This window comes from Homo sapiens, chromosome 1, assembly GCF_000001405.40.
Source record: "Homo sapiens chromosome 1, GRCh38.p14 Primary Assembly".
NCBI classification, from domain to species: domain Eukaryota; kingdom Metazoa; phylum Chordata; class Mammalia; order Primates; family Hominidae; genus Homo; species Homo sapiens.
Window position 1 is genome coordinate 161,339,394 of NC_000001.11, and position 25,196 is coordinate 161,364,589.

General features: G+C 42.1%; 1 protein-coding gene across 13 annotated transcripts in view, besides 1 other annotated feature; it reads left to right on the top strand.

Moving 5' to 3' along the window:
* SDHC (succinate dehydrogenase complex subunit C) overlaps positions 1-23,813 on the top strand; it is a 48,826-nt gene extending 25,013 nt beyond the window's left edge. For 7 of the 13 annotated variants that reach the window (NM_001407119.1, NM_001407120.1, NM_001407115.1 and 4 more), the window contains 3 exons: positions 1,201-1,262; positions 17,284-17,447; positions 22,936-23,813. In NM_001407119.1, coding sequence (NP_001394048.1) covers positions 1,201-1,262; positions 17,284-17,447; positions 22,936-23,040 — 331 coding nt within the window. In that variant the 3' untranslated portion in view covers positions 23,041-23,813. Of the gene's footprint in view, positions 1-168; positions 196-1,200; positions 1,263-17,283; positions 17,448-22,935 lie in introns of all 13 variants that reach the window. The other 6 variants (NM_001035511.3, NM_001278172.3, NM_001407121.1 and 3 more) reach the window with 3 other exon arrangements.
* Positions 17,318-17,516: a silencer, noted in NCBI's record as "fragment chr1:161326501-161326699 (GRCh37/hg19 assembly coordinates)". NCBI's record gives its function as "represses an EF-1alpha promoter that drives an FKBP-Casp9 reporter gene in an ReSE screen in K562 erythroleukemia cells {active_cell/tissue: K562}" and the evidence as "EXISTENCE:reporter gene assay evidence [ECO:0000049][PMID:32094911]".

Here is a 25,196-nt window from a genome sequence, read left to right on the forward strand (position 1 = left end):
TAGGTTGACCTTGAACTCCTGAACTCAACGGCCCCCGCCTTGGCCTCCCAAAGTACTAGGATTACAGGTGTGAGCCACCATGCCAGCTCCAACTTTAATGAGTGTCTTTGACCCATGTTTCTCCTTGCGAAAGGAGTTTTGAGTTATAATCATTTTTTTTTTTCTCAGCCCTATCAGTGATGCAGTCTGGTAAAGGTAGGGATCCTTCTCCATAAATCAGTTTTCTTTATTCTTTAATTTATTTTTGTAACCTAATCCTGATACAGGTGTTTTTTTTTTTTTTTTTTTTTTTTTTTTGGAGACAGAGTTTCACTCTTGTTGCCCAGACTGGAGCTGGAGTGCAATGGTGCGATCTTGGCTCACCGCAACCTCCACCTCCTGGGTTCAAGCAATTTTCCTGCCTCAGCCTCCCGAGTAACTGAGATTACAGGCATGTGCCACCACATCCGGCTAATTTTGTATTTTCAGTAGAGACGGGGTTTCTCCATGTTGGTCAGGCTGATTGCGAACTCCTGACCTCAGGTGATCCACCTGCCTTGGCCTCCCAAAGTGCTGGGATTACAGGCGTGAGGCACCGCGCCTGGCCCAGGTTTGTATTTTTAAAGTAAAAAGTGGAAACACGGCTGGGCACAGTGGCTCACACCTGTAATTCCAGTACTTTGGGAGGCCGAGGTGGGCGGATCATGAGATCAGATCAAGACCAGCCTGGCTAAGGTGATGAAACCCCTTTACTAAAAATACAAAAATTAGGCGGACCTGGTGGCAGGCACCTGTAATCCCAGCTACTCAGGAGGCTGAGGCAGGAGAATCTCATGAACCCGGGAGGCAGAGGTTGGAGTGAGCTGAGACTGTGGCATGGGACTCCAGCCTGGGTGACAGAGCAAGACCCTGTTCCGGGGGGGTAAAAAAAAAAGTGAAAAGACAGGAATGCAAAAGCTGGTGATTTTTTGTTTTGTTTTGTTTTGTTTTAAGAAAATATTACCTATTCAGGAGAATTGCTTGGACCCGGGAAGTGGAGGTTGCAGTGAGCTGAGATCATGCCATTGCCAGCCTGGGCAACAGAGCGAGACTCTGTCTCAAAAAAAAAAAAAGAAAAAAAAGTGCCTATTTCAGAATTAGTTTATATTTTTGCCAAGATAGACTCTCTACTATGGTGTCATCTTTTCCTTTTTAAAATTGTCTTTGTGTGTTTCTTTACAGTTGGTCTCTTCCCATGGCGATGTCCATCTGCCACCGTGGCACTGGTATTGCTTTGAGTGCAGGTATGTATATGTGTTTTTACACACACATATGTGCTTCTTTGAAAAACTTGGCTGTTTCATTGGCCCTAGTCTCCGCCTCCTTTGAAACTCAGCACTTGATTTAGAGGGAACAGTAAGTCTCTTAAGTTTATTGTTCATTCATCCCTTTAACAATTAATTATGAGTTTGCACTGTGCTCAGATTCTTTTCTTCTTTTTTTTCTTTTTGAGACAGAGTCTTGCTCTTTTGCCCAGGCTGGAGTGCAGTGGCGCGATCTCGGCTCACTGCAACCTCCGCCTGCTGGGTTCCAGCGATTCTCCTGCCTCAGCCTCCTGAGTAGCTGGGATTACAGGCATGTGCCACCACGCCTGGCTAAATTTTTGTATTTTTAGTAGAGACGGGGTTTCACCATGTTAGCCAGGATGGTCTTGATCTGACCTCATGATCCGCCTGCCTCAGCCTTCCAAAGTGCTGGGATTACAGACATGAGCCACTGTGCCTGGCCCAGATTAGTTTCTTAGCAAATTTTTAAACCATTCCCTAGCACTTCCTGATATCATGTTTATTGAAATTATAGAGAGCAGAGAAATGTAATAGAGATGGGCTGGCTGACTGATCATTGATGAAACACAGTCCAACCTTATTTTTCCAGAAGCTCAGTTTTAGCACCCATTCTTATCACCTAGACATGCTCAGTCCCCCAAAGACTAGCTCACTAACCAGTCTCACAAAATCTTGATTTACAGACCAGAATGTCTATTTATTCATTTATATAATATGAACTGCAGCTACAGAGTGAATTATATACTGGTCTTAGATAATTAGTACATCCTTTTTAGGTAGGAAGGTTTATTATATGGAGTGCAGATTATAATCAGTTTTCTGGGATCTGATGTATCTTTTCACAGTAGGGATATACTTTACAAGAGGGTCAGCTAGATTTAAAAATTATGTCTGGCTGGTGCTGGAGACATAGACATTTTTGCTTTTTTATGTATTTATTTTCTCACAAGAATGTGCATGTAACATATTTTTACTTTTTTAGCTTTCCTTTATTTAGCCTTATAGCATACTTTGCTCTCCTACCCCCACCAAAAACAGAAACAAAAACTAGATTATGTTCCCTGGATACATGCTCTTAAAGCATTCTAGTTTTTCTTTCATAATCATAGTTGTAATTTACTTGTTCATTGTTGTTCTTCCTTACTGGATTGTCTGTTCCCTGAGGGCTTAGACTGCATCTGTCTGTATTTTTAATTATCTAGTAGGGTACCTAGAATGCAGTAGATAATTTAGTAAATATTTGGTGAATACAAAATGAATACCACTCTCTTTTTTGTTAATGTGTTTTATATATTTCTGTCCCAAATTTCTATTCCATTTATAATCATATTTTTTGGCTCTAGAAGTATCTTATTTTGGTCCCCTGCATATTGACTATAATAACTACCTAACTAGTATTGTATTTCAACTGGCATTTCTGTGTGATGTGATTACTAGTTTAGCTGAAAGCTATTCAGTTCAGTGGGAGCCAGAAGAGGTTATTGTACATGAGAGTGCTGCATAGGTAAATCTGAGTTTGCTCTCTATTAGTCTCCTTGAGACATTGGGGGAACTTGTGTTCTCTCCCAGCGAAGGTGATCTAGCCCATATATATCCACAGGGAGAACAGGTGCAAACTAGGAGTAGTGGAGTGCTTTCTAAAAGAAATGCTCCAATGCACTATTAGCACATACTCAACAAGACTTCTGTTCCAAGTTGATAGTCCTGGGACCTTTGCTGGCAAAGGAAAATGAGCTTATGACTTAGAACAGTGTGTAAATCCCTGCTGTGTGTACAAACTTTTCTCTCCTGTGGATAGTTCCCTGGTATGTCTTTTTTTTTTTTTTTTGAGACAGAGTTTCGCTCTTGTTGCCCAGGCTGGAGTGCAATGGCACAGCCTTGGCTCACTGCAACCTCATGAGACCAGCCTCCTGGGTTCAAGCTATTCTTCTGCCTCAACCTCTCAAGTAGCTGGGATTACAGGCGCCCACCACCATTCCCTGCTAATTTTTGTATTTTTGGTAAAGATGGGGTTTCTGAACTCCTGACCTCAGGTAATCTGCCCGCCTCGGCCTCCCAAAGTGCTGGGGTTACAGGCGTGAGCCACTGTGCCTGGCCCCTTGGTATATCTTTAACCTCATCCTAGGGAATAAGAGGAAATATCTTGCCTAGAATCGGTATGAAATTATATACCTGAGAGACAGAAGCCCCACTGTTTTACCTTATGTAAAGCTCTGTCTGAGCCCCTCCATCGCGTCTCTTTTGTTACTTTAGCCTGGGAGCAATGCCTAAGTTTTATTCATCACATCAGGCATCATTACAGTCTTGCCAGGAGATGGCCCATTTGTACAGAGTAGAGCAGATGGCAACCTTCAGGTCCTATCGTGTAAGTGTGCTCTTGCTCCAGAAATTTGATGCCAAATAGAGCTTTCGAGGTAGGAAAGGGAGTTTCTATTGACTTTTGCTTTGTTGAAGCAGTGGTGGTATTGGAAAAGTGCTCTTGTTTCTGTCTTCTGAGACCCTGAAGGATCTCTCCTAGGCTTCTGTAGACTATGTTTTTAACTGACGTGGTCATCAGTAGGGCCAGTGGCTCTAGTGTAGGGATCCTGTATTTAAGGAACTGCTGATGAGACATTGGCAGGAATTATCTGAATCTAAGCCTCTGCTATTTGCAATCTCATATATGTGTGTGTGTATATATTTATATATGTCCATTTATAGACATATATATGTAGTTTTGTTGATAAGGATAGAGACTCCTATCTAAGATCTGATGCCGTCATTTTTGTTCTTTTTCATTCCTTTGGTTGGTAAAGGGACGATGGAATCAAGGTATAAGGATGATTTGTGTTGTTAGGAATCCATATGTAGTTCCTGGTTTTTAACCTGCTTGCACTGAACTGGTGGGGATGATAGGGTAAATCTCAAGATTAGGCTATTCTAACTGTAGATTCATAATTACTTTTATTTCTGCTTCCTTAGAATAAGAAATTTTTAGATTGATTAAGGAATTTCTAGATGGATGCTTTCTACTCAGTTTGGTGATATTGATGAACAGATTTAATCCTAAAAATCACTGAAAGAACAAGAGCAGTTTATTTATTAGGCTGTAGTTTCCCTTATTATCTCAGTATATTTGTCACCACTAAATGAAAAAAAGATACTGACTTTTTTATAGACTATAATGATAAAAAAATATTCATTTGTATTCATGGCTAAAATTGAATATTTTTCACAACTGAAGAATTATTTGGGCAGGGTGCAGTGATTCACACCTGTAATCCCAGCACTTTGGGAGGCCGAGGCAGGAGGATTGCTTGAGCCCAGGAATTCGAGACCATCCTGGGCAACATATCAAGACCCAGCACTTTGGGAGGCTGAGGTGGGCAGATCACGAGGTCAGATCGAGACCATCCTGGCTAACACGGTGAAACCCCGTCTCTACTAAAAAAATACAAAAAAAAATAGCCGGGCATGGTGGCGGGCACCTGTAGTCCCAGCTGCTTGGGAGGCTGAGGCAGGAGAATGGCGTGAACCTGGGAGGCGGAGCTTGCAGTGAGCTGAGATTGCGCCACTGCACTCCAGCCTGGGAGACAGAGCGAGACTCCGTCTCAAAAAATAAAATAAAATAAAAAATTAGCCTGGAATGGTGGCATGCATCTATAGTCTCAGCTACTAGGGAGGCTGATGTAGGGAGGATTGCCCAGGAATTCAAGGCTGCAGTGAGCTGTCACTGTGCCACTGCACTCCAGCCTGATGACAGCAAGACCCTATCTCAAAAAAAAGAAAAAAAAAAGAAAAAAGTTGTTTTTTTTCTGTCTTTACCCCTTTGAATGGTGGCCTTGCATTCATCAGCATATGTCCTGTTTTTCCTCTCTCCTAGTTCCATGATAGAATATAGTAGCTGTTTTCTATAGAGTAGAAGTTAAGTATAACTACAGCATTTTCTTCAAATGTTGAAGGTCCCTCCATCAAAATCGTAAAGGAATAGGTTTTTGCCAGGTGGATGACTTAAGCAAATTACTCAGTTCTCTAAACCTCAGCTTATTCCTTATAAAATGGGCATATTAATAATGCCTATCTCAGAATTCATGGGATTTCAAGAAACTTTATGCTCTGGGTTTTGCTTTATGGAAACAAGGATGAAAAACATGATACCTTTAATAACAACTGTCTCTTAGAAGATAATGTGCCCTGGACCGAATGGCAAGAGAAATTGGATCATTTGTTCTGAAATGAAGTCAGTTCCAGCAACTGTGGTCTTTGCATTCTTGTGGCCCTAGTCCCATCCATTTTTCACACAACAGCAAGAAAAATCTTTTGAAAATAAATGGAATCATGTCACTCCCTTCCTTAGACTCTCCTAATGACTGTGTTCACTTTAGCACTTAGATTAAAATTCAAATATCCACCTTTGCCCTGCCAGCTCTGGCTCTTCCCTAACTCATTCCTGCCATTCCTCCCTTTGCTTACTGTGCTCCAGCCACACTGGTGTTTGAACTCATTGGAACAGGCAAAATTATTTCCTACCTGAGAGGCATTGCATGTTTTGTTTCTTTAGTCTGAAATGCCCACCCTGACCTCTTGCTGCACTGTGCTTGGTTAGTTCTTTCTTATCCTTTACATCTTAGCAAAATGTTAACTCAAAGAGCACTTTGCTTACCACCATATTTAAAGTACAAGCTTCCTTACATCTGTTTTACAGTACTCTATTCCTTCATAGTTCTTATTGTGCTGTGTTGTTTCTTTCAAAGCTTTTATTACACAAGTTGTAATTATTTTATTTTATTTTATTTTTGAGACAGAGTCTCGCTTTTCTGCCCAGGCTATAATGTAGTGGCGCGATCTCAGCTCACTGCAACCTCCACCTCCCGGGTTCACGCCATTCTCCTGCCTCAGCCTCCCCAGCAGCTGGGACTACAGGCGCCTGCCACCACGCCTGGCTAATTTTTTGTATTTTTAGTAGAGACAGGGTTTCACCATGTTAGCCAGGATGGTCTCGATCTCCTGACCTTGTGATCCGCCCGCCTCGGCCTCCCAAAGTGTTGGGATTACAGGCTTGAGCCACTGCGCCTGGCAGTTGTAATTATTTTATTTGCTAACTTTTTATAAATCTGGGTTTTTTTGTTTTGTTTTTTGTTTTTTTTGAGACGGAGTCTTGCTCTGTTGCCCAGGCTGGAGTGCAGTGGCGCGATCTCAGCTCACTGCAGCCTCTGCCTCCAAGGTTCAAGCAATTCTTCTGCCTCAGCCTCCCGGGTAGCTGGGATTACAGGCACCCACTACCATGCACGGCTAATGTTTGTATTTTTAGTAGAGACAGGGTCTCACTATTTGGCCAGGCTGGTCTCAAACTCCTGACCTCAAGGAATCTGCCCGCCTCAGCCTCCCAAAGTGTTGGGATTACAGGCGTGAGCCACCACGCCCAGCCAAATCTGCGTCTTTTATTAGACTGTAAAGTCTTCAAAGAGTGGATACTCTATCTATCTTATTTACCATTCATACCCTCTAGCACTCAATAGGTGCTTAGAAAATCTTTATTTACTAAATGAACATACCCATGTAAATCACTTTGCTCATAGTGGTCACTTAGAAGTGTTCATTTTTCCCACCTTCTAATTAACCTCCTGTTACACATTAGAAATTAGATAGGGATAATATATAGTCTCTACTCTCAAGGATAGAGGAATCTAAGGAGTAAGACAAATATTTATAATGCACTGTGATAGCTTTTTTTTTTTTCGAGACAGAGTTTCGCTTTTGTTGCCCAGACTGGAGTGCAATAGCGCGATCTCAGCTCACTACAACTCTGCCTCCCAGGTTCAAGTGATTCTCCTGCCTCAGCCTCCCGACTAGCTGGGATTACAGGCATGCACCACCACGCCTGGCTAATTTTGTATTTTTAGTAGAGGCAGGGTTTCTCCATGTTGGTCAGGCTGGTCTCGAACTCCGGACCTCAGGTGTTCTGCCCACTTTGGCCTCCCAAAGTGCTGGGATTACAGGTATGAGCCACCATGCCCGGCCATGATAGCTTTTTAATAAGAGATATGAGACCCCAGAGGAGAAACCAACAAATACAGTTGTCCCTTATTATCTGTTGGAGATTGGTTCCAGGATTCCTCCTCAGATACCAAAATCTACAGATACTCAAGTCCCTTATATAAAAGGATGTGGTATTTGGATATATCCTATGTACATCATATACTTAAAATTATCTCTAGATTACTTATAATACCTAATACAATGTAAACGCTATGTAAATAGTTATATTGTTTATGGAATAATAACAAGAAAAAAAAAGTGTACGTTTTCAGTACAGATAAAACCATTCATTTCCCCCACCCAATATTTTCAATCCACAGTTAGTTGTATATCCACAGATGCAGAATCCATGGATGCAGAACTCAGGACACAGAGTTGACAGCACTCTGAGGGAGTTAGAAGGCTTGAAAGAAGTGTGAACAGGAGAGTTTGTGAAGAGGAGGTAGAGGAGGGCATTCCAACAGAGAAATTCCTTTATGGAAAGGCATAGGGATTGGAAATCTCCCGGATCATTGGATGATTATGACGAGGTCTGTTTCTTTTTTTCCTTTTTTTTTGAGATGGAGTCTCGCTCTGTCGGCCAGGCTGGAGTGCAGTGGCACGATCTCGGCTCACTGCAACCTCCGCCTGCCAGGTTAGAGAAATTTTCTTCCTCAGCCTTCCGAGTAGCTGGGATTACAGGCACCTGCCACCATGCCAAACTAATTTTTTTTGTATTTTTAGTAGAGTTGGGGTTTCAACATCTTGGCCAGGCTGGTCTTGAACTCCTGACCTCGTGATCCACCTACCTCGGCCTCCTGAAGTGTTGGGATTACAGGCATGAGCCACCACACCCGGCTGAGGTCTGTTTCTTAAGAATGGTGTTTATGGGGCCAGGCGCGGTGGCTCACACCTGTAATCCCAGCACTTTGGGAGGCCGAGGCAGGTGGATCACAAGGTCAAGAGATCAAGACCATCCTGGCCAACATGGTGAAACCCCATCTCTACTAAAAATACAAAAATTAGCTGGGCATGGTGGCATGTGCCTGTAGTCCCAGATACTTGGGAGGCTGAGGCAGGAGAATTGCTTGAACCCAGGAGGCGGAGGTTGCAGTGAGCCGAGATCACGCCACTGCACTCCAGCCTGGCAACAGAGTGACACTCTGTCTCAAAAAATAAAAAAAGAATGATGTTTATGGGAGAAGTGACAGAAGATAAGGCTAGAAAGTGGGCCAAATGGTGAAGGACTTTGACTGCCATGCTGTAGACCATGAAAAGCCATTAAAAGTTCATGTGCTCTTTTGTTCCAGTAACAGGACAAGCTGGCCTCCTGGATAAATACAAAATAAGTTATTTATTTTAACTATAGAGATTTTATGGCTAATATATAAATTTTAAAAAGCATGTTAACACTAGTTTGACTTTAAAATAGAATTTATTAAAAAGAAACTTGACAATTTTTGTTTGTTTGTTTTTTTTTGAGATGGAGTCTTGCCCTGTCGCCCAGGCTGGAGTGCAATGGTGCCATCGTGGCCCACTGCACTTCTGTCTCCTCCTGGGTTCAAGCAATTCTCCTGCTTCAGCCTCCCAGGTAGCTGGGACTACAGGCATGTGTCACCATGCCTGGCTAATTTTTGTATTTTTAGTAGAGACGGGATTTCACCATGTTGGCCAGGCTGGTCTTGAACTCCTTACCTCAAGTGATCCGCCTGCCTCTGCCTCCCAAAGTACTGGGATTACAGGCATGAGCTACTGCGCCTGGCCTGCAATGTTTTGAAAGGTTGAAAGAGGAGACTAATAGCACTCTTATATTGCTTAGGATCCATAAAGATTAAAATACTCAGGGCTGGGTGCGGTAGCTCATGGCTGTAATCCCAGCACTTTGGGAGGCTGAGGCGGGTGGATCACCTGAGATCAGGAGTTTGAGACCAGCCTGGCCAACATAGTGAAACCCCATCTCTACTAAAAATCCAAAAAAAAAAAAAAAAAAAAATTAGCCAGTTGTGGGTGGCGCATGGCTATAATCCCAGTTACTTGGGAGACTGAGCCAGGAGAATGAATTGAACCTGGAAGGCAGAGGTTGCAGTGAGCTAGGATCGCACCAGTGCACTCCAGCCTGGGTGACAGAGCGAGACTCTGTCTCAAAAATAAATAAATAAAAATACTCAGGATTTTTCATAGTGACAGAAAAAGTCTATTTGACTTTTTCCTATAAAAGTCTAGTTGAATTTAGGTACATGCCTTGAGAATGGCAGATAGCTGAAGTTGCAATAATGAATGAGTCTAGGAAATCATAAATAACAAGATAAAACATACAACATAAAGCATGAGATTAGGAAGAGAGAATAAAGATACTAAACAACAGATATTTTAAGCTTTGAACCAATATATACAGATATTCATGTATCTGTATATGAATTGTACAATTAGCTTGAATGGATATAAGAATGGTCCTGCATGTTTTGGGTAGTCTTTAAAAACAGTCAGGCCAGGTGCTGTGGCTCACGCTTGTAAACCCCGCACTTTGAGAGGCCAAGGCAGGTGGATTGCTTAAGACCAGGAGTTTGAGAACAGCCTGGCTAACATGGCGAAATCCCATCTCTACTAAAAATATAAAAAATTAGCTGGGTGTAGGTGGCACATTCCTGTAACGTGGGCTACTTGGGAGACTGAAGCACGAGAATCGCTTGAACCCAGGAGGCAGAGGTTGCAGTGAGCCGAGATCATGCCACTGCACTCTAGCCTGGGTGACAGCGAGACTTTATCTCAAAAATAAAAATAAATAAAAATAAAAAATAAAATAAAAACAGGGTCAGATGGAAGAATCAGAACTTTTGTGAGAGATTGCCTGAATTTGTAGGCAAACCTGCTGCTCAGGCAGGTAGCCTATTCTCTAGAAAAGCCAAAAGATTTACAGATTCATAAAGTAACTGATGGGCTTTGAAAATGACTGTGTTTTTCTTCTGTCATGAGATGGGATATTAGTTATTGATTCTTAAATATCATCTGTTATACTTTAGAAATCCTGGTTATTCCAGACTGAGTGTAGAAAAAGTGAAAAAAGTGCACTTTGGAATGAGACAGATCTGAGTTCAATTCTAACTCTGTCACTAACTGTGAGACCTTACCTTGAAAAAGTTATTTGTCACCACACCTGCCACCAAGCCTCAGTATTTTTGTCCACAAATTTGGATAATACCTTTTTTTTCTCTTTAGTTTAAAAAAATTTTTTTGAGACCAAGTTTCGCTCTTGTCTCCCAGGCTGGAGTGCAGTGACATAATCTCGGCTCACTGCAACCTCCACCTCCTGGGTTCAAGTGATTCTCCTGCCTCAGCTTTCCCAGTAGCTAGGATTACAGGCACGCGTCACCATGCCTGGTTAATTTTGTATTTTTAGTAGAGACGGGGTTTCACCATGTTGGCCAGGCTAGTCTTGAACTCCTGACTACAGGTGATCCACCTGCCTTGGCCTCCCAAAGTGCTAGGTTTACAAGGGTGATCCATGTACCCGGCCTCGTTTTTAAACAATTTTTTAAAAATGGAGATGAGGTTTCACAGTGTTGCCCAGGCTGGTCTCAACTCCTGAGCTCAAGTGATCCGCCTACCTTGGCCTCCCAAAGTGCTGGGATTACAGGCGTGAGCCACCATGCTCAGCCTGGATAATACCTTTTTGCTGTGTATGGGGGCAACAGTTAGAATTTAGAGACCTTAAAACTAGTATAAATTCTTTCACAGTGGATATGATTTGCTCTCCATTTGAGAAAAAGTTTATGCATGTCACTGAGTAATGTAGTGTAGCTTAAAACATCAACAAAAGTTCCAGACTCATAAAAACATATGCATTAAATATGTACAATTTTTTCATGTTTCAATTATACCCAATAAAGGTATTTTTTAAAAAAAATCAAAGATAGCCCAAATGTGTTAGAGACATAAGACCGGAATGTGATTGAAATTAAGTAAGGCAATAATTCAGTTGGTAGTATTATATTCTTTCTCAGGATACAAACTGGCAGCCTGTGGGCCATGTTTGGTCAACAGATGTACTTTGTTTCTTTGTGCTGTGATGAAAAGAAATGGAATTTGAGTGCATTTAGGTGGAACATACATACTTCCCCTTTCCAACAGTTTTCTATGAGCACCACTAGTCTATATGGCCTTAATTGCCTTATACTCTGCTTGATTCACACATCCGTTTGGCTCCTTAGGCATTTGGGTTTGACCTGCCTCTTGGGAGGGGCAAAGAATGAGATGAGTGGTGGTGACAGTAAGAGGGAAATGGGTAATCAGAAACAAAAAAGGAAAAAAGAGAAGGCCAAGGAACCAAATATTCAGTGTTTATTCTCTAGAGTCCAAAGGAGAGAGGCATTGAACCTGGAAGGCACAAATTATCCAGTCAGTGGAGAAGTGTGTGTGGTGCACGTGTGATTCCGGTTTATCCAGCCTCAACTTGGCCTAAATGACATTTCTGTCAAAATTAGTTCCTCCATTTGCTCTAATCTGCTAATTTTTAATTTGGCTTTCTGGGTCTTGGATTTTGGTTATTAGAAGAGGTTTTGCCATCTATCTTCTATACTTTAGTCTCTTGTAATTTTGACAAGCCTGAAGGTAGGCTTTGGGCTGTAGAAAATGCACCAAGAGTTCTTGTCATCTTTGAGATCTCTTGAGAGATCTTGTAGTTACTTTTCACTCTGCTACATCATCATTTCTTTTTCTACTTAAAATAATGCCTGTTAAGGATTATAAAAATTAAATACTATATTTGAAATTCCTAATACAGGCTTGGTGGTGATTATTATTTACATTAATAATCAGAATAGTTAATCTTATACCTCTCAGAAAATGTGTGATATTTGTAGTTAAACAAGTCCTTCTCAGCCCTTCCTATTTCACAACTGCTGACTGCTACATCTTAGTCCTTGCATTACCAAGTTGGGATGACCTGGCAAAACTCTTACCAGAAGAGAAAATGCTTCTCAGAAATGCTTTACTTTACCTCAGTACGTGAGTACTCTTGACCTCAAGAGAGGTTGTGGGGAAGCAGATGGGCAGAATACATCATGATGAGATTAGTGTGACAACACTGGAAATAAAAGAACAGTTATGTGCTGTCACACTGAGTTTTAATCATCAGTTGGACAGCTTCATGAAGGCTCTTTTAGATGTTTTCTTTTCATTTGCTGTGACATCTGCATGGGCTTTCTAGGAAGAAGTGTCTGAAAGAGCTTATGATGACTTCTGGAAGTGACAATAGGACTTGCTGACAGTCCGCACAGTTACATATATAGGACTTAACTGGGGTGGATCCAGCAGGAACTGGTCTTGGCAGTCAAGAAAAAGCACTATTTAATTTTTCTCAGTGATTAGATAGGACAGCTTCAGTGGCTTTATTTTCCCAATTGAAATTGTTCAGCTGTTAGAGGACTCTCTGAGGCACTCAGATTCTAGGAGTGGGGTCAGTTTCCTGATGCCCAATATACTGAACATCAGAGGAGAATTCAGAAAATCTCATATTTAATTCTCATATGTTTTTCACTTGTAGTGATGAAAGCTTTGGCTAAAGTAGCTTTCAATTGAATTAACTGATTAATATTCCTGTTTGAAGAGGTAGAGCCTTTTTTGAAAATTAGTGAGGCAGCCAGCCAAAATGATCTCTCTCCTGATTATATCTGGCTTGGAATCTGGTAATGATCCCAGATCTCCTTGACCTCCCAGAGATTTGTATAAAAAAAAATTTTTCCTGATTACAAGAACATATTACCAAGAATGAAAATATTATACAAATGTATACTTAGAAAAGTTGCCCATAATCCCGCCAGTCAGAAATAACCAGTATTCTATGTATATCCAGAGACTGTATCATTTTATGTTTTTTGTTTAAGGACTCAACCCATCAGAAAAATACCTAATTCAAATACAACTATTGCTATAGCCATTATTTACTAAACATTTACATAATTATTTAACCCTCATAATAATCTGAGAAACAGGAGTATCTTCATTTAAGAGCTTAAGAAACTGAAGTGGCCGAGGTGGGTGGGAGGCCAAGGCGAGTGGATCACCTGAGGTCAGGAGTTTGAGACCAGCCTGGCTAATGTAGTGAAACCTCGTCTCTACTAAAAATACAAAAAAATTAGCCGGGCGTGGTGGCACACACCCGTAGTCCCAGCTACTCGGGAGGCTGAGGCAGGAGAATTGCTTGAACCTGGGAGGCGGAGGTTGCAGTCAGCTGAGATCGTGCCACCGCACTCCAGTCTGGGCGACAGAGCGAGACTCCGTCTCAAAGAAAAAAAAAGAAAAAAGAAAAAATTGGTGTGGGGGTATGTAGTAGTAGAATGATTTTGAGAACATTTGACTTATTTAGAGGCAGTCTTCTCTTTTTGAATTGATTAAACTAATTGACATAATTCTGTATTATTCATAGGAAAACAAAAGCTGAAGACACTGTTATTCACATCCTAGTATTTCCAAGAGTTTTGACTCTCGTAGGTCATTTGAGAGTAGGTGGTGTTATCCTAGGATAACACCATATCAGGGTCTGGTTTTCTGTTGGTTAATATTGGTGTGGGTGGCCATCCCTGGGACTCAGCTGTGAGCCTGTTGTCCTATTTGATGCATAGATCAGGGATGAGTTTGCCCAGATATCTAAGGCATATATTTGGCTATTGAAGTTTCAGAGCTTTGTGCTGGCACTGAAATTCAAAAGATAGTTTTGAATTTCCTATCAAAACTACCAAAAGAGGGGTTCCTGCAGTCTTCTATAATAGCTTATCATCTATCCAGAGTGTCAAAGACTCTGAACCCTCTTGAGTCATATCTTCCTCCCAAATGTTCATCAAACTGTTTGAGTTCAGGTTTACCTCAGTGTCTTCAGTAATTATTTTCATGGTGCTCCTAAGTCAAGGTAAATACCTAACACTTTTGTTTTATTAGTTTGTTAGATCCAAACAGCTTATTTATTTCTTAGCCATTGAGTAGACATTTTTTAAAAAAAATCATCCACATAGGCTGGGCACAGTGGCTGACAACTATAATCCCAGTGCTTTGGGAGGCCAAGGCAGAAGGATCGCTTGAGCCCAGGAGTTAGAGACCAGCCTGAGCAACATAGCAAGACCCCGTCTCTATGAAAAACAAAAGCAAAAACAAAATCATCCACATAAATGGAAAGAAAAAAATATTTTTATTTCATTCTTAAATAATCATACTTTTTTGTTTGTTTGTTTTTGAAACAAGATCTCACTCTGTTACCTGGGCTGGAGTGCAGTAGCACAATCACAGCTCACTTTGTGCCTGGCTAATATTTTTTATTTTTGTTTTTATTTTTTGTCTTATTTTTAGTAGAGACAGGGTCTCATTATGTTGCCCAGGCTGGTCTTGAATTCCTGGGCCCGAGTAATCCTCCCACCTCAGCCTCCTAAATTGCTAGGATTACAGGCATGAGCCACCATACCCAGCCAATCATAATTACTTACTAATAGGATGTATATGCTGTTGGATATTATACAACTCCTCCAACCTTAGAAATCAGATTGGATACTGCCACCCTCATTTCTTGTTCCACAGTGATTTTCACACAGTACTTCATTTTTGCTGAAAACCCAGCTTTGCAAAGATGTGATCATTGAAAGAAATCTAACATCTAATGTTGAAACTGAACTACCTTGAGCTAGTAGTGGTTCACATGATGACCAACAGATGTTAAGTATCACTGTGTTTCATTTGAATATGTAAAATATCCTGTAGGACCTGTGAGTTTGCTTTGGTACCCCAGGGCAGCTTGGTGTAGTTTGGAAACCACAGTTCTAGCAATGATCCCAAACTATCAAATCAGGGTCTCTGGGAGTTGTGATGTGGGTACTCTTTTTTGCTTCCCCAAAATATTTTTTGGTGATTATGGGAAACAACTGGCCTCTTCTTTTTTTCTTTTTTTTTTTTTAATTCCCATTTTACAGATGATGTCTTATTTCTTTGTGTGTGTGTGTGTGTGTGTGTGTGTGTGTGTGTGTGTGTGTGTGTTTTGTCATTTGAGATGGAGCCTCACGCCTCACTCTGTTGCCCAGGCTGGAGTGCAGTGGTGCGATCTCAGCTTCCTGCAACCTCCACCTCCCAGGTTCAAGAGTTTCTCCTGCCTCAGCCTCCTGAGTAGCTGGGACTACAGGTGTGCGCCACCACAACTGGCTCATTTTTGTATTTTTAGTAGAGATGGGGTTTCACCATGTTGCCCAGGCTGGTCTTGAACTCCTCACCACAAATAATCTGCCCACCTTGGCCTCCCAAAGTGTTGGGATTACAGGCATGAGCCACCGTGCCAGCCAAGATAACATCTTATTTCTAATTTGAGTTTCATATTTGTTATACTTGATTTCTCAGTCATTGGTGGTCGATAGCCACTGAGCTCCAACAGATAATGCAGCCCTGTCAGACATTAAAATATTCATACTTTTTCTTTCACATAGGGAAATAATCTTCCAAGTATATACACATAGCAGTTACATTATATCATTATGGTTTTGATTTGCATTTGTCTAATGGCTAATGATGTTAAGCACCTGTTCATGCACTGATTGGCCATTTATTTATCGTCCTTGGAAAGATGTCTATTCAGATCCATTTGTCATTTTATTGATTGAGTTGTAAGAGTTTTTTATGTATTCTGGATAAAAGTCCTCCATGATTTGCAAATATTTTCTCCCATTCCTTTGAGTTGTCTTTTCACTTTCTTGATGGTATTATTTGCAGCACAAAAGTTAGTAATTTTGATGAAATCCAATTCATCTGTTTTTTCTTTTGTCATTTATGATTTTGGTGTCATCTGTGAAACCACTGCCTAATCCAAGATCATGAAGATTTATTTCTATGCTTTCTACTAAGAGTTTTATAGTTTTAGTTCTAGCATTTAGGTCTCTAATTCATTTTAATTTAAATTTTTGTGTAATAGAGATTTGAATGATTTAAAATTTTTCCTCTCTTCAGAGGTAGCAACACTAGAAGATAAAGATAAAAAAAGGGCCAGGCGCAGTGGCTCATGCTGGTAATCCCAGCGCTTTGGGAGGCTGAGGTGGGCGAATCACTTGAGGCCAGGAGTTTGAGACCAGCCTGGCCAACATGGCAAAACCCTGTCTCTACTAAAAATGCAAAAATTAGCGAGGCATGGTGGCATGCATCTATAAGGCCAGCTACCTGGGAGGCTGAGGCACAAGAATGGCTTGAACCCAGGAGGCGGAGGTTGCAGTGAGCTGAGATCACGCTTACTGCACTCTAGCCTGGGCAACAGAGCGAGACTCTGTCTCAAAAAAAAAAAAAAAAAAAAGAGAACCTAATTTTTTTTCTGACTCTTCTCTGGACTGAGTACACTGTTTTTACCTTTTCTTAGTTAGATGATGAACTAGATGATATAGCAAGGCTTGATGTCTAAACTGGCAAGTGAAGTTTTTATAGAGACGGATGTTGAAAGGAGGAATAACATACTAAAACATATGGCACATTTAGTTTATGATGAGATCCCAAGTAGTCTGTCTCCCATCATAAACTTGAACATGAGTTTAAATCTTCTCCTTTTCAAGGCCGGGTGCAGTGGCTCACACCTGTAATCTCAGCACTTTGGGAGGCAAAGGTGGGCAGATCACTTGAGGTCAGGAGTTCGAGACCAGCCTGGCCAACTTGGTGAAACCCTGTCTCTACTAAAAATACAAAAATTAGCTGGGCGTTGTGGTGGGCACCTGTCATCCCCACTACTCAGGAGGCTGAAGCAGGAGACTCGCTTGAACTTGGGAGGTGGAGGTTGCAGTGAGCCAAGATTGCACCACTATACTCCAGCCTGGGTGACAGAATGAGACTCTGTCTCAAGAAAAAAAGAAAACAAAAATCTTCTCCATTTCAAAATGGTTTAGAATTGTATGAGGTGCCAGGGGTCCCAGTTTTATGTATCATATTAGTTGTAACTTATGAGCAGCTGTGACAAGCTACTTGGTTTTCTCCTCAGGGGTCTCTCTTTTTGGCATGTCGGCCCTGTTACTCCCTGGGAACTTTGAGTCTTATTTGGAACTTGTGAAGTCCCTGTGTCTGGGGCCAGCACTGATCCACACAGCTAAGTTTGCACTTGTCTTCCCTCTCATGTATCATACCTGGAATGGGATCCGACACTTGGTAAGTTAATTCGGGATTTGCACATTTTCTCTGTGAAGGGAGTGGGGAGACTGGGAGGATTCTTTCCTTCATTACTGGGTTTAGTGCTGTTCTTTTTTTTTTTTCCCAAGAGTGGAGTCTCGCTCTATTGCCCAGGCTGGAGTGCAGTGGTGCGATCTCAGCTCACTGCAACTTCTGCCTCCTGGGTTCAAGAGATTCCTGTGCCTCAGCCTCTTAAGTAGTTGGCGTTATAGACGCATGCCACCACTCCTGGTTTTTGTATTTTTAGTAGAGATGGGGTTTCACCATGTTGGCCAGGCTGGTCTCAAACTCCTGGCCTTAAGTGATCCGCCTGCCTAAGCTTCCCAAAGTGCTAGGATTATAGGCGTGAGCCACCGCGCCCAGCTAGTGCTGTTCTTAAGGTTAGTTGTGACTCAGAGTCCTCTTGGGGAAAGCCAGACAAGTTCACAAGTTCCCCTGTGTGTTACCTGGCAGTCCTGCTGGTGGTGTAGCTGAGCAATGGTATAGGCCTCACAGATACTTGCAGGGTCTCATTGGGAACTCTTCCTTTTTTAATTTAATTTAATTTTATTTTTTGAGACAAAGTCTCGCTCTGTCTCCCAGGCTGGGGTGCAGTTGGCGCGATCTTGGGTCACTGCAAACTCCACCTCTTGGGTTCAAGAGATTCTCCTGCCCCAACCTCCCGAGCAGCTGGGACTACAGGCGCCTCCCACCACGCCCGGCTAATTTTTTGTATTTTTAGTAGAGATGGGGTTTCCCCATGTTAGCCAGGCTGGTCTCAAACTCCTGACCTTGTGATCCACCCCTCTCAGCTTCCCAAAGTGCTAGGATTACAGACGTGAGCCACTGTGCCCTGCTGAACTCTTCATTTTTAAGAGGGATATTTAAAAGAGATCCCTGAAGGCATAGAATGCATGTTTATGACATAAATATTAATTGGTACCTATTTATGTGTCAGGTACTGTTGTAGACACTGGGGATTCAGTTATGAGCTAGATAACCATTGTTGCTGCTTTCATTCTTCCGTTCCTGTTGACCCAGAGTAGTGCTTCTGACAGGACTCAAATAGATTACCTTTTCTTATCTACACATTATATTGCATTTCTGTTTTGAGATGTTGGACAGAATTGGGCCAACTTTAATAGAAACTGGGTGCCAAGAATTCCAGGTTTCAATATTGAGGTTAGGAATCTTTTTTTTTTTTTTTTTTTTTTGAGACAGAGTCTTGCTCCATTGCCCAGGCTGGAGTGCAATGGTGCAATCTCAGCTCACTGCAACCTCCACCTCCCAGGTTCAAGTGATTCTCCTGCCTTAGCCTCCCAAGTAGCTGAGATTACAGGTGCCCACAACCACGGCCAGCTAATTTTTTTTTTTTTTTGGTATTTTTAGTAGAGACGGGATTTTGCCATGTTGGCCAGCCTTACAGGTGCCTGCCACCACACCCAGCAAATTTTTTTTTTTTTGTATTTTTTAGTAGAGATGGGGTTTCACCATGTTGGCCAGCCTGGTCTTGAACTCTTGGCTTCCCAAAGTGCTGGGATTACAGGCGCGAGCCACTGCACATGGCAGGAATCATTTAATAGATTGGAAACTGTCCATGTTGCCTCCTATGTGACCTCATCGTCTGCTCAAAACTGGTTTCTAAAATTAGCCAGGTATGGTGGTGTGCGCCTGTGGTCCCAGCTACCCGTAAGGCTGAGGTGGGAGGATCGAATGAGCCTGGGAGGCGGAGGTTGCACTGAGCCGAGATTGTGCCACTGCACTTCAGCCTGGGTGACAGAGTGACCCCATCTAAAAAAAAAATAGGCGGGCACAGTGGTTCACGCCTGTAATCTCAGCATTTTGGGAGGCCGAGGCGGGCGGATAATCTGAGGCCGGGAGTTCGAGACCAGCCTTACCAACATGGAGAAACGCTGTCTCTACTAAAAATACAAAATTAGCCGGGCATGGTGGCACATGCCTGTAATCCCAGCTACTCGGGAGGCTGAGGCAGGAGACTTGCTTGAACCCGGGAGGCAGAGGTTTCAGTGAGCTGAGATCATGCCATTGTACTCCATCCAGCCTGGGCAACAAGAGCGAAATTCCGTCTCAAAAAAAAAAAAAAAAATACAAAAATTAGCTGGGGGTGGTGGCATGTGCCTGTAATCCCAGCTACTTGGGAGGCTGAGGCAGGAGAATCCAGGAGGCAGAGGTTGCAGTGAGCCAAGATCATGCCACTGCACTCTAGCCTGGGTGACAAAAGTGAAACTCAGTCTCAAAAAAAAAAAAAAGAAAAGATTTTATATTTTGTAGTCTCCCTAGTTTTGCTTCCAAGAAGGCAATTAAAATTCAGTTCTTTCTGTATTTTCATTACTTCTGAATCTGAGTCAACTGTCAGATGGATGCTTTTGCCTTAATTTGACTTTTTATTACTTCCAAATCATAGCCTTAGAGACAAGCACTTTCTGGATTTCAGTCTGGTCCAATAGACAGTTTAATGGAATAAAAAAAATGAGAGACTAAATTACTTATTAAATTAAGTGTCTGTATCAACTGTTCCCTGGGGCAGTGTTCAGTTTGATTTAAAATGACTTTTTACTTCCCTGAGGGGGAGGCAGTAGAGAGGGAGGACATTTCCATTAATGACTTCCTATTCCACAGAACAAAGCTCTGTAAAGAAAATCAGCTGATCAGCTTCCTCTGTTCATATTTTGGCTCAGACAGAGACTTGCCCTATATTTGTCTTTGTCTCAATATGGGGGTAAGAGAGGGGAGGTTTTATAAAATTGCAGAACTTAGAGCTTTTCTGCCCTGGTTCTTGCCTGTGATGGTAATCTTTTTGTTGAGGGAAGTGAAGAACCTAAGGGTCCTTAAGTCTGCTTTTATTTTTTCTTCTAGCAAGTACTGGCTGTGAGTGTGGGACAGGATTTTGTGTTTTCTGTGACAGTCTGCAGTTTTTGGCCTCTGAACTTGATAGTTGACTTGCCAGAAGATCTAATGGGGGAGTGAGGAGTGAAAGAGTAGGATGTTATAGGGTCTGTGGCATTCTAGGGAATATCCCTGCCTACTACTGCTACCCAGTAGGACTCACTCTCTATAAAACATTGTCCTTATTTAAGCAAAACAACTCTTTGTGGAATCTGCTTGACTCCTAATCTCCTAGTTAGAAGCAATTTGAGGGTTGAGGTGGAGGCATCTTCTCATCTTGATTTTTTTTTTTTTTTCTGGGCTTCCATCTTTTCTCTGAACTGACTCCTAATTTAGGCAGTTTTACATTCAGACTGTGGGTGTATGTGTGTATGTGTGTGTTAAGGCGCCATGTATGTGGGAAGTGTGGAAAATGAAGACTGCTTTTGCCCCATGGGCTCATTTAGTGACTTATAATATAATATTAATATGTTAATATCCCTAAGACACAAGAGAGTCAAAATTAGTGTTTTGTTAAATGTGGGGCTGGGGGCATGGTAGCTCATGTCTGTAACCCTAGCACTTTGGGAGGCCAAGGCAGGTGAATTGCTTGAGCTCAGGAGTTCAAAACTAGCCTGGGCAACGTGGCAAAACTTCATCTCTACCAAAAATACAAAAAATTAGCTGGGCATGGTGATGGGTGCCTGTAGTCCCAGCTACTTGGGAGGCTGAGGCAGGAGGATTGCTTGAACCTGGGAGGTCAAGGCCTCAGTGAGCTGAGATTGTGCCACTGCACTCCAGCCTAGGTGACAAAGTGAGACCCTGTCTCAAAAAATTAAAAAAAAAAAAGTGGGGGTGGGTGGTGGGGTAGGGGCTGGGTGAGATGGCTCACACCTGTAATCTCAGCACTTTGGGAGGCTGAGGCGGGAGGATTGCTTGAGCCCAGGAGTTCAATACTAGCCTGGGCAAGACATAACAAGAGTCTATCTCTATTTTTTAGTATTAAAAAGAAAAGTGGGTTTTAACTCAATTGGTAGAAAACCAATTTAGTGGCATGCTACCAACAAAAAAAGAAATTTAAATAGAATAGAAAATATAGGCTGGGGCTGGGCGTGGTGGCTCATGCCTGTAATCCCAGCACTTTGGGAGGCTGAGGAGGGTGTATCACTTGAGGTCAAGAGTTTGAGACCATCCTGGCCAACATGGTGAAACCCCATCTCTACTAAAAATACAAAAATTAGCTTGGCATGGTGGCATGCGCCTGTAGTCCCAGCCACTGGCAGGGCTGAGGCAAGAGAATCGCTTGAACCTGGGAGGCTGACGTTGCTGTGAGCCAAGATGGCGCCACTGGAGTGGCTGGGTGCAGAAGTTCACGCCCGTAATGCCAGCTTTTAGGGAAGCAGAGGCAGGAGGATAGCTTGAGTCCAGGAGTTCAAGACCTGCCTGAACAATATAATGAGACCCCGTTCTCCACAAAAAGGAGAAAATATATGTTTTTTAATGAAGTTTATTTATATATAAAATATATAAATATATACTTGTATATATATGGCACCACTTAGTAATGGTAAATATTGTTTTATCAACTTTTGCTATATTATATATACATATCTATTGGGTTCCAGTTTTAAAGGTATTTCTTAGTGGAGTCACAGTCAAAACAAAATTGAGAAATAGTGTTCTAGATCTCAGAGTATCCTTTAGAATACTAGTCCTCTGATAAATAGAGTTTCCCTCTATAAAAAGATTCTGAGATTGACTGTATCTAGGAAATCAGGCATATTATATCTCTCTTTTGGAGATTCACAGTGTGCATTAGTAAACTGTAAGAGGCTGGGCGCAGTGGCTCACGCCTGTAATCCCAGCATTCTGGGAGGACAAGGCGGGCAGATCACGAGATCAGGAGATCAAGACCATCCTGGCTAACTCGATGAAACCCCATCTCTACTAAAAATACAAAAACAAAATTAGCCAGGCGTGGTGGCGTGTGCCTCTAGTCCCAGCTACTTGGGAGGCTGAGGCAAGAGAATGGCATGAACCTGGGAGGTGGAGCTTGCAGTGAGCTGAGATCATGCCACTGCACTCCAGCCTGGGCGACAGAGTGAGAGTCCGTCTCAAAAAAAAAAAAAAAAAAAAAACTGTTTAGAAAGTCTTGCAGTTAAATGTTTATGAACTTTGTATGACCACAGAACTTTTTTTTTTTTGGCCCATACAATGGCTTTCAACATTCTGAGAGCAAGTGTTTGGAAGAATACACCTTGAGAAACATTAATCTAGATGTGTGGTCCTGAGGAAAAGTTGTATCTATTCATTCTGGAAGCTTTTGTATACCGTATGGGGCCTGTGGCATTCTAGAGAACATTCCTCCTACCATCACCACACAATAGAACCTGATTTTCTGTCATTGGAATAAGTGGATAATAGGTTCCATACTGTGGGTTTTGAGAAGGGTAAAGGTGGGGCATAAGGGTAGAAGCGCTTTTCTCTAGAATCATGCTGAGAGGAGATATCTATTCCTTTAGGTAGAATTACTTTCTGAGACAGGAACTGTTAATGTCCTATTTACTGAAATTCCTTTTTTTTTTTTTTGCTTTGTCCACAGATGTGGGACCTAGGAAAAGGCCTGAAGATTCCCCAGCTATACCAGTCTGGAGTGGTTGTCCTGGTTCTTACTGTGTTGTCCTCTATGGGGCTGGCAGCCATGTGAAGAAAGGAGGCTCCCAGCATCATCTTCCTACACATTATTACATTCACCCATCTTTCTGTTTGTCATTCTTATCTCCAGCCTGGGAAAAGTTCTCCTTATTTGTTTAGATCCTTTTGTATTTTCAGATCTCCTTGGAGCAGTAGAGTACCTGGTAGACCATAATAGTGGAAAAGGGTCTAGTTTTCCCCTTGTTTCTAAAGATGAGGTGGCTGCAAAAACTCCCCTTTTTTGCCCACAGCTTGCCTACTCTCGGCCTAGAAGCAGTTATTCTCTCTCCATATTGGGCTTTGATTTGTGCTGAGGGTCAGCTTTTGGCTCCTTCTTCCTGAGACAGTGGAAACAATGCCAGCTCTGTGGCTTCTGCCCTGGGGATGGGCCGGGTTGGGGGGTGGGTTGGTGAGGCTTTGGGTGCCACTGCCTGTGGGTTGCTGGCTTAAAGGACAATTCTCTTCATTGGTGAGAGCCCAGGCCATTAACACCTACACAGTGTTATTGAAAGAAGAGAGGTGGGGGTGGAGGGGAATTAGTCTGTCCCAGCTAGAGGGAGATAAAGAGGGCTAGTTAGTTCTTGGAGCAGCTGCTTTTGAGGAGAAAATATATAGCTTTGGACACGAGGAAGATCTAGAAAATTATCATTGAACATATTAATGGTTATTTCTTTTTCTTGGATTTCCAGAAAAGCCTCTTAATTTTATGCTTTCTCATCGAAGTAATGTACCCTTTTTTTCTGAAACTGAATTAAATACTCATTTTATCTTTGACTCTCCTTGAAATCTAGAGAAACCAAGAAAATGGCTGTTGGGAAGGAACCAATTTCCTCCTCTTCCCTCGGGTCTCAGGCATTTACATCCTCCCTCTCCCCGCAATCTGACCTTTACCAGGAGGGAAACAGTTCTCCTACATCTCATCATTGGAAAAGTTTTCAGGGAATCAGATAGAACTTAGCCAGAGATTTAAATATCACAGAAAAGCCTCAGAGAAGGAAGGAGAAAAAGAAAAGAAGTGACGCATGTAGAGTGCTTTTGGGTTATAGGCACCAAAATCCCATTAAGGACTGATTATAAGCTTCATGGTACAGTTCAGCAAATTATGATTCATTGAGGGGCACAGAGGACCAGTGTTGGTGACAGCTAGGGGATGATGACCTGAGGTTATAGGCTTGGGGTGAATGAAGCATAGAGTTTTTTTTTAAAAAAGAAGGGATTGTTGAAAACCTGGCAAAAATGTATAATTTAATGAGAAAACTTGCTGCTTTTAAAATCCATATAGGCCAGGCTTTAGCAGGCATGCTGTTTTGATAGTTTTTGGGAACTCTGGAATAAGAGACTTATCTCATCTGTCACTTCGAGTTGTTGGCCAGCCAGTTAAAGCTGTGGGTCGAAGAGGGGAAATGTTAACTGGCTGGTGTCAATTGGATAGGAAGACCTTAGTTAAGGTGGGGACCCGCTGTTTTAACAGTCTTCATTCAGGGTCCCAAATAGTATTTGGCTTTAAGTAATGATTGGTTTTCCCTTTTTACTAGAGGGGCCCTGGGAAGTCCTTGTACCTTTCCTCCATTTTAAACCAGCTGTTCTCTACTTTGTCCTTGGAATGAGGGACAAGTGATCATGACAGAACACTTTGTCATTGGGACTGGGAAAGGTTTGGCAAGGGCATTAAATTTAACAGCCAGTGCCAGGAAAATATAAAATGGGGTCAATGATAAACAGCTGTTAGAGGCTGGAAAATGGGTAGGGCAGTTGAATTTTTTGGTGGTTTCGTACCATTTGGGTGATTGAAGCATGGTAGTGGGTGGGTGGGGGGTGTGACAGAGCATCATGTTTGTTATTCTGCCTTAAATTTCTACTTACTGTCTTTTTCTTCTCTGTCTTCCAATCACTTTAATATCTTCAATTTTCAAACTATATTTGTACTTGGGCTTAGATAGAAAGTCTTACACAAGCATAGTATCTTCTACTTTGGTTTTCCCTACCTTTTCTTCCCCACCTTCTCCAAACACACATATACATACTCTACTCAATTCTATTTCTGATTTTGTAGTTGTTAGTTGTCCATGCTCAGGATAAAAAATGAGTGGGTAGGGTTGAGGGACTGGTTCTTTGAGGTTCTGCCCTTTTTCCATGATTCAGACCAACTTTCTCTTGGTCATTTCTGGA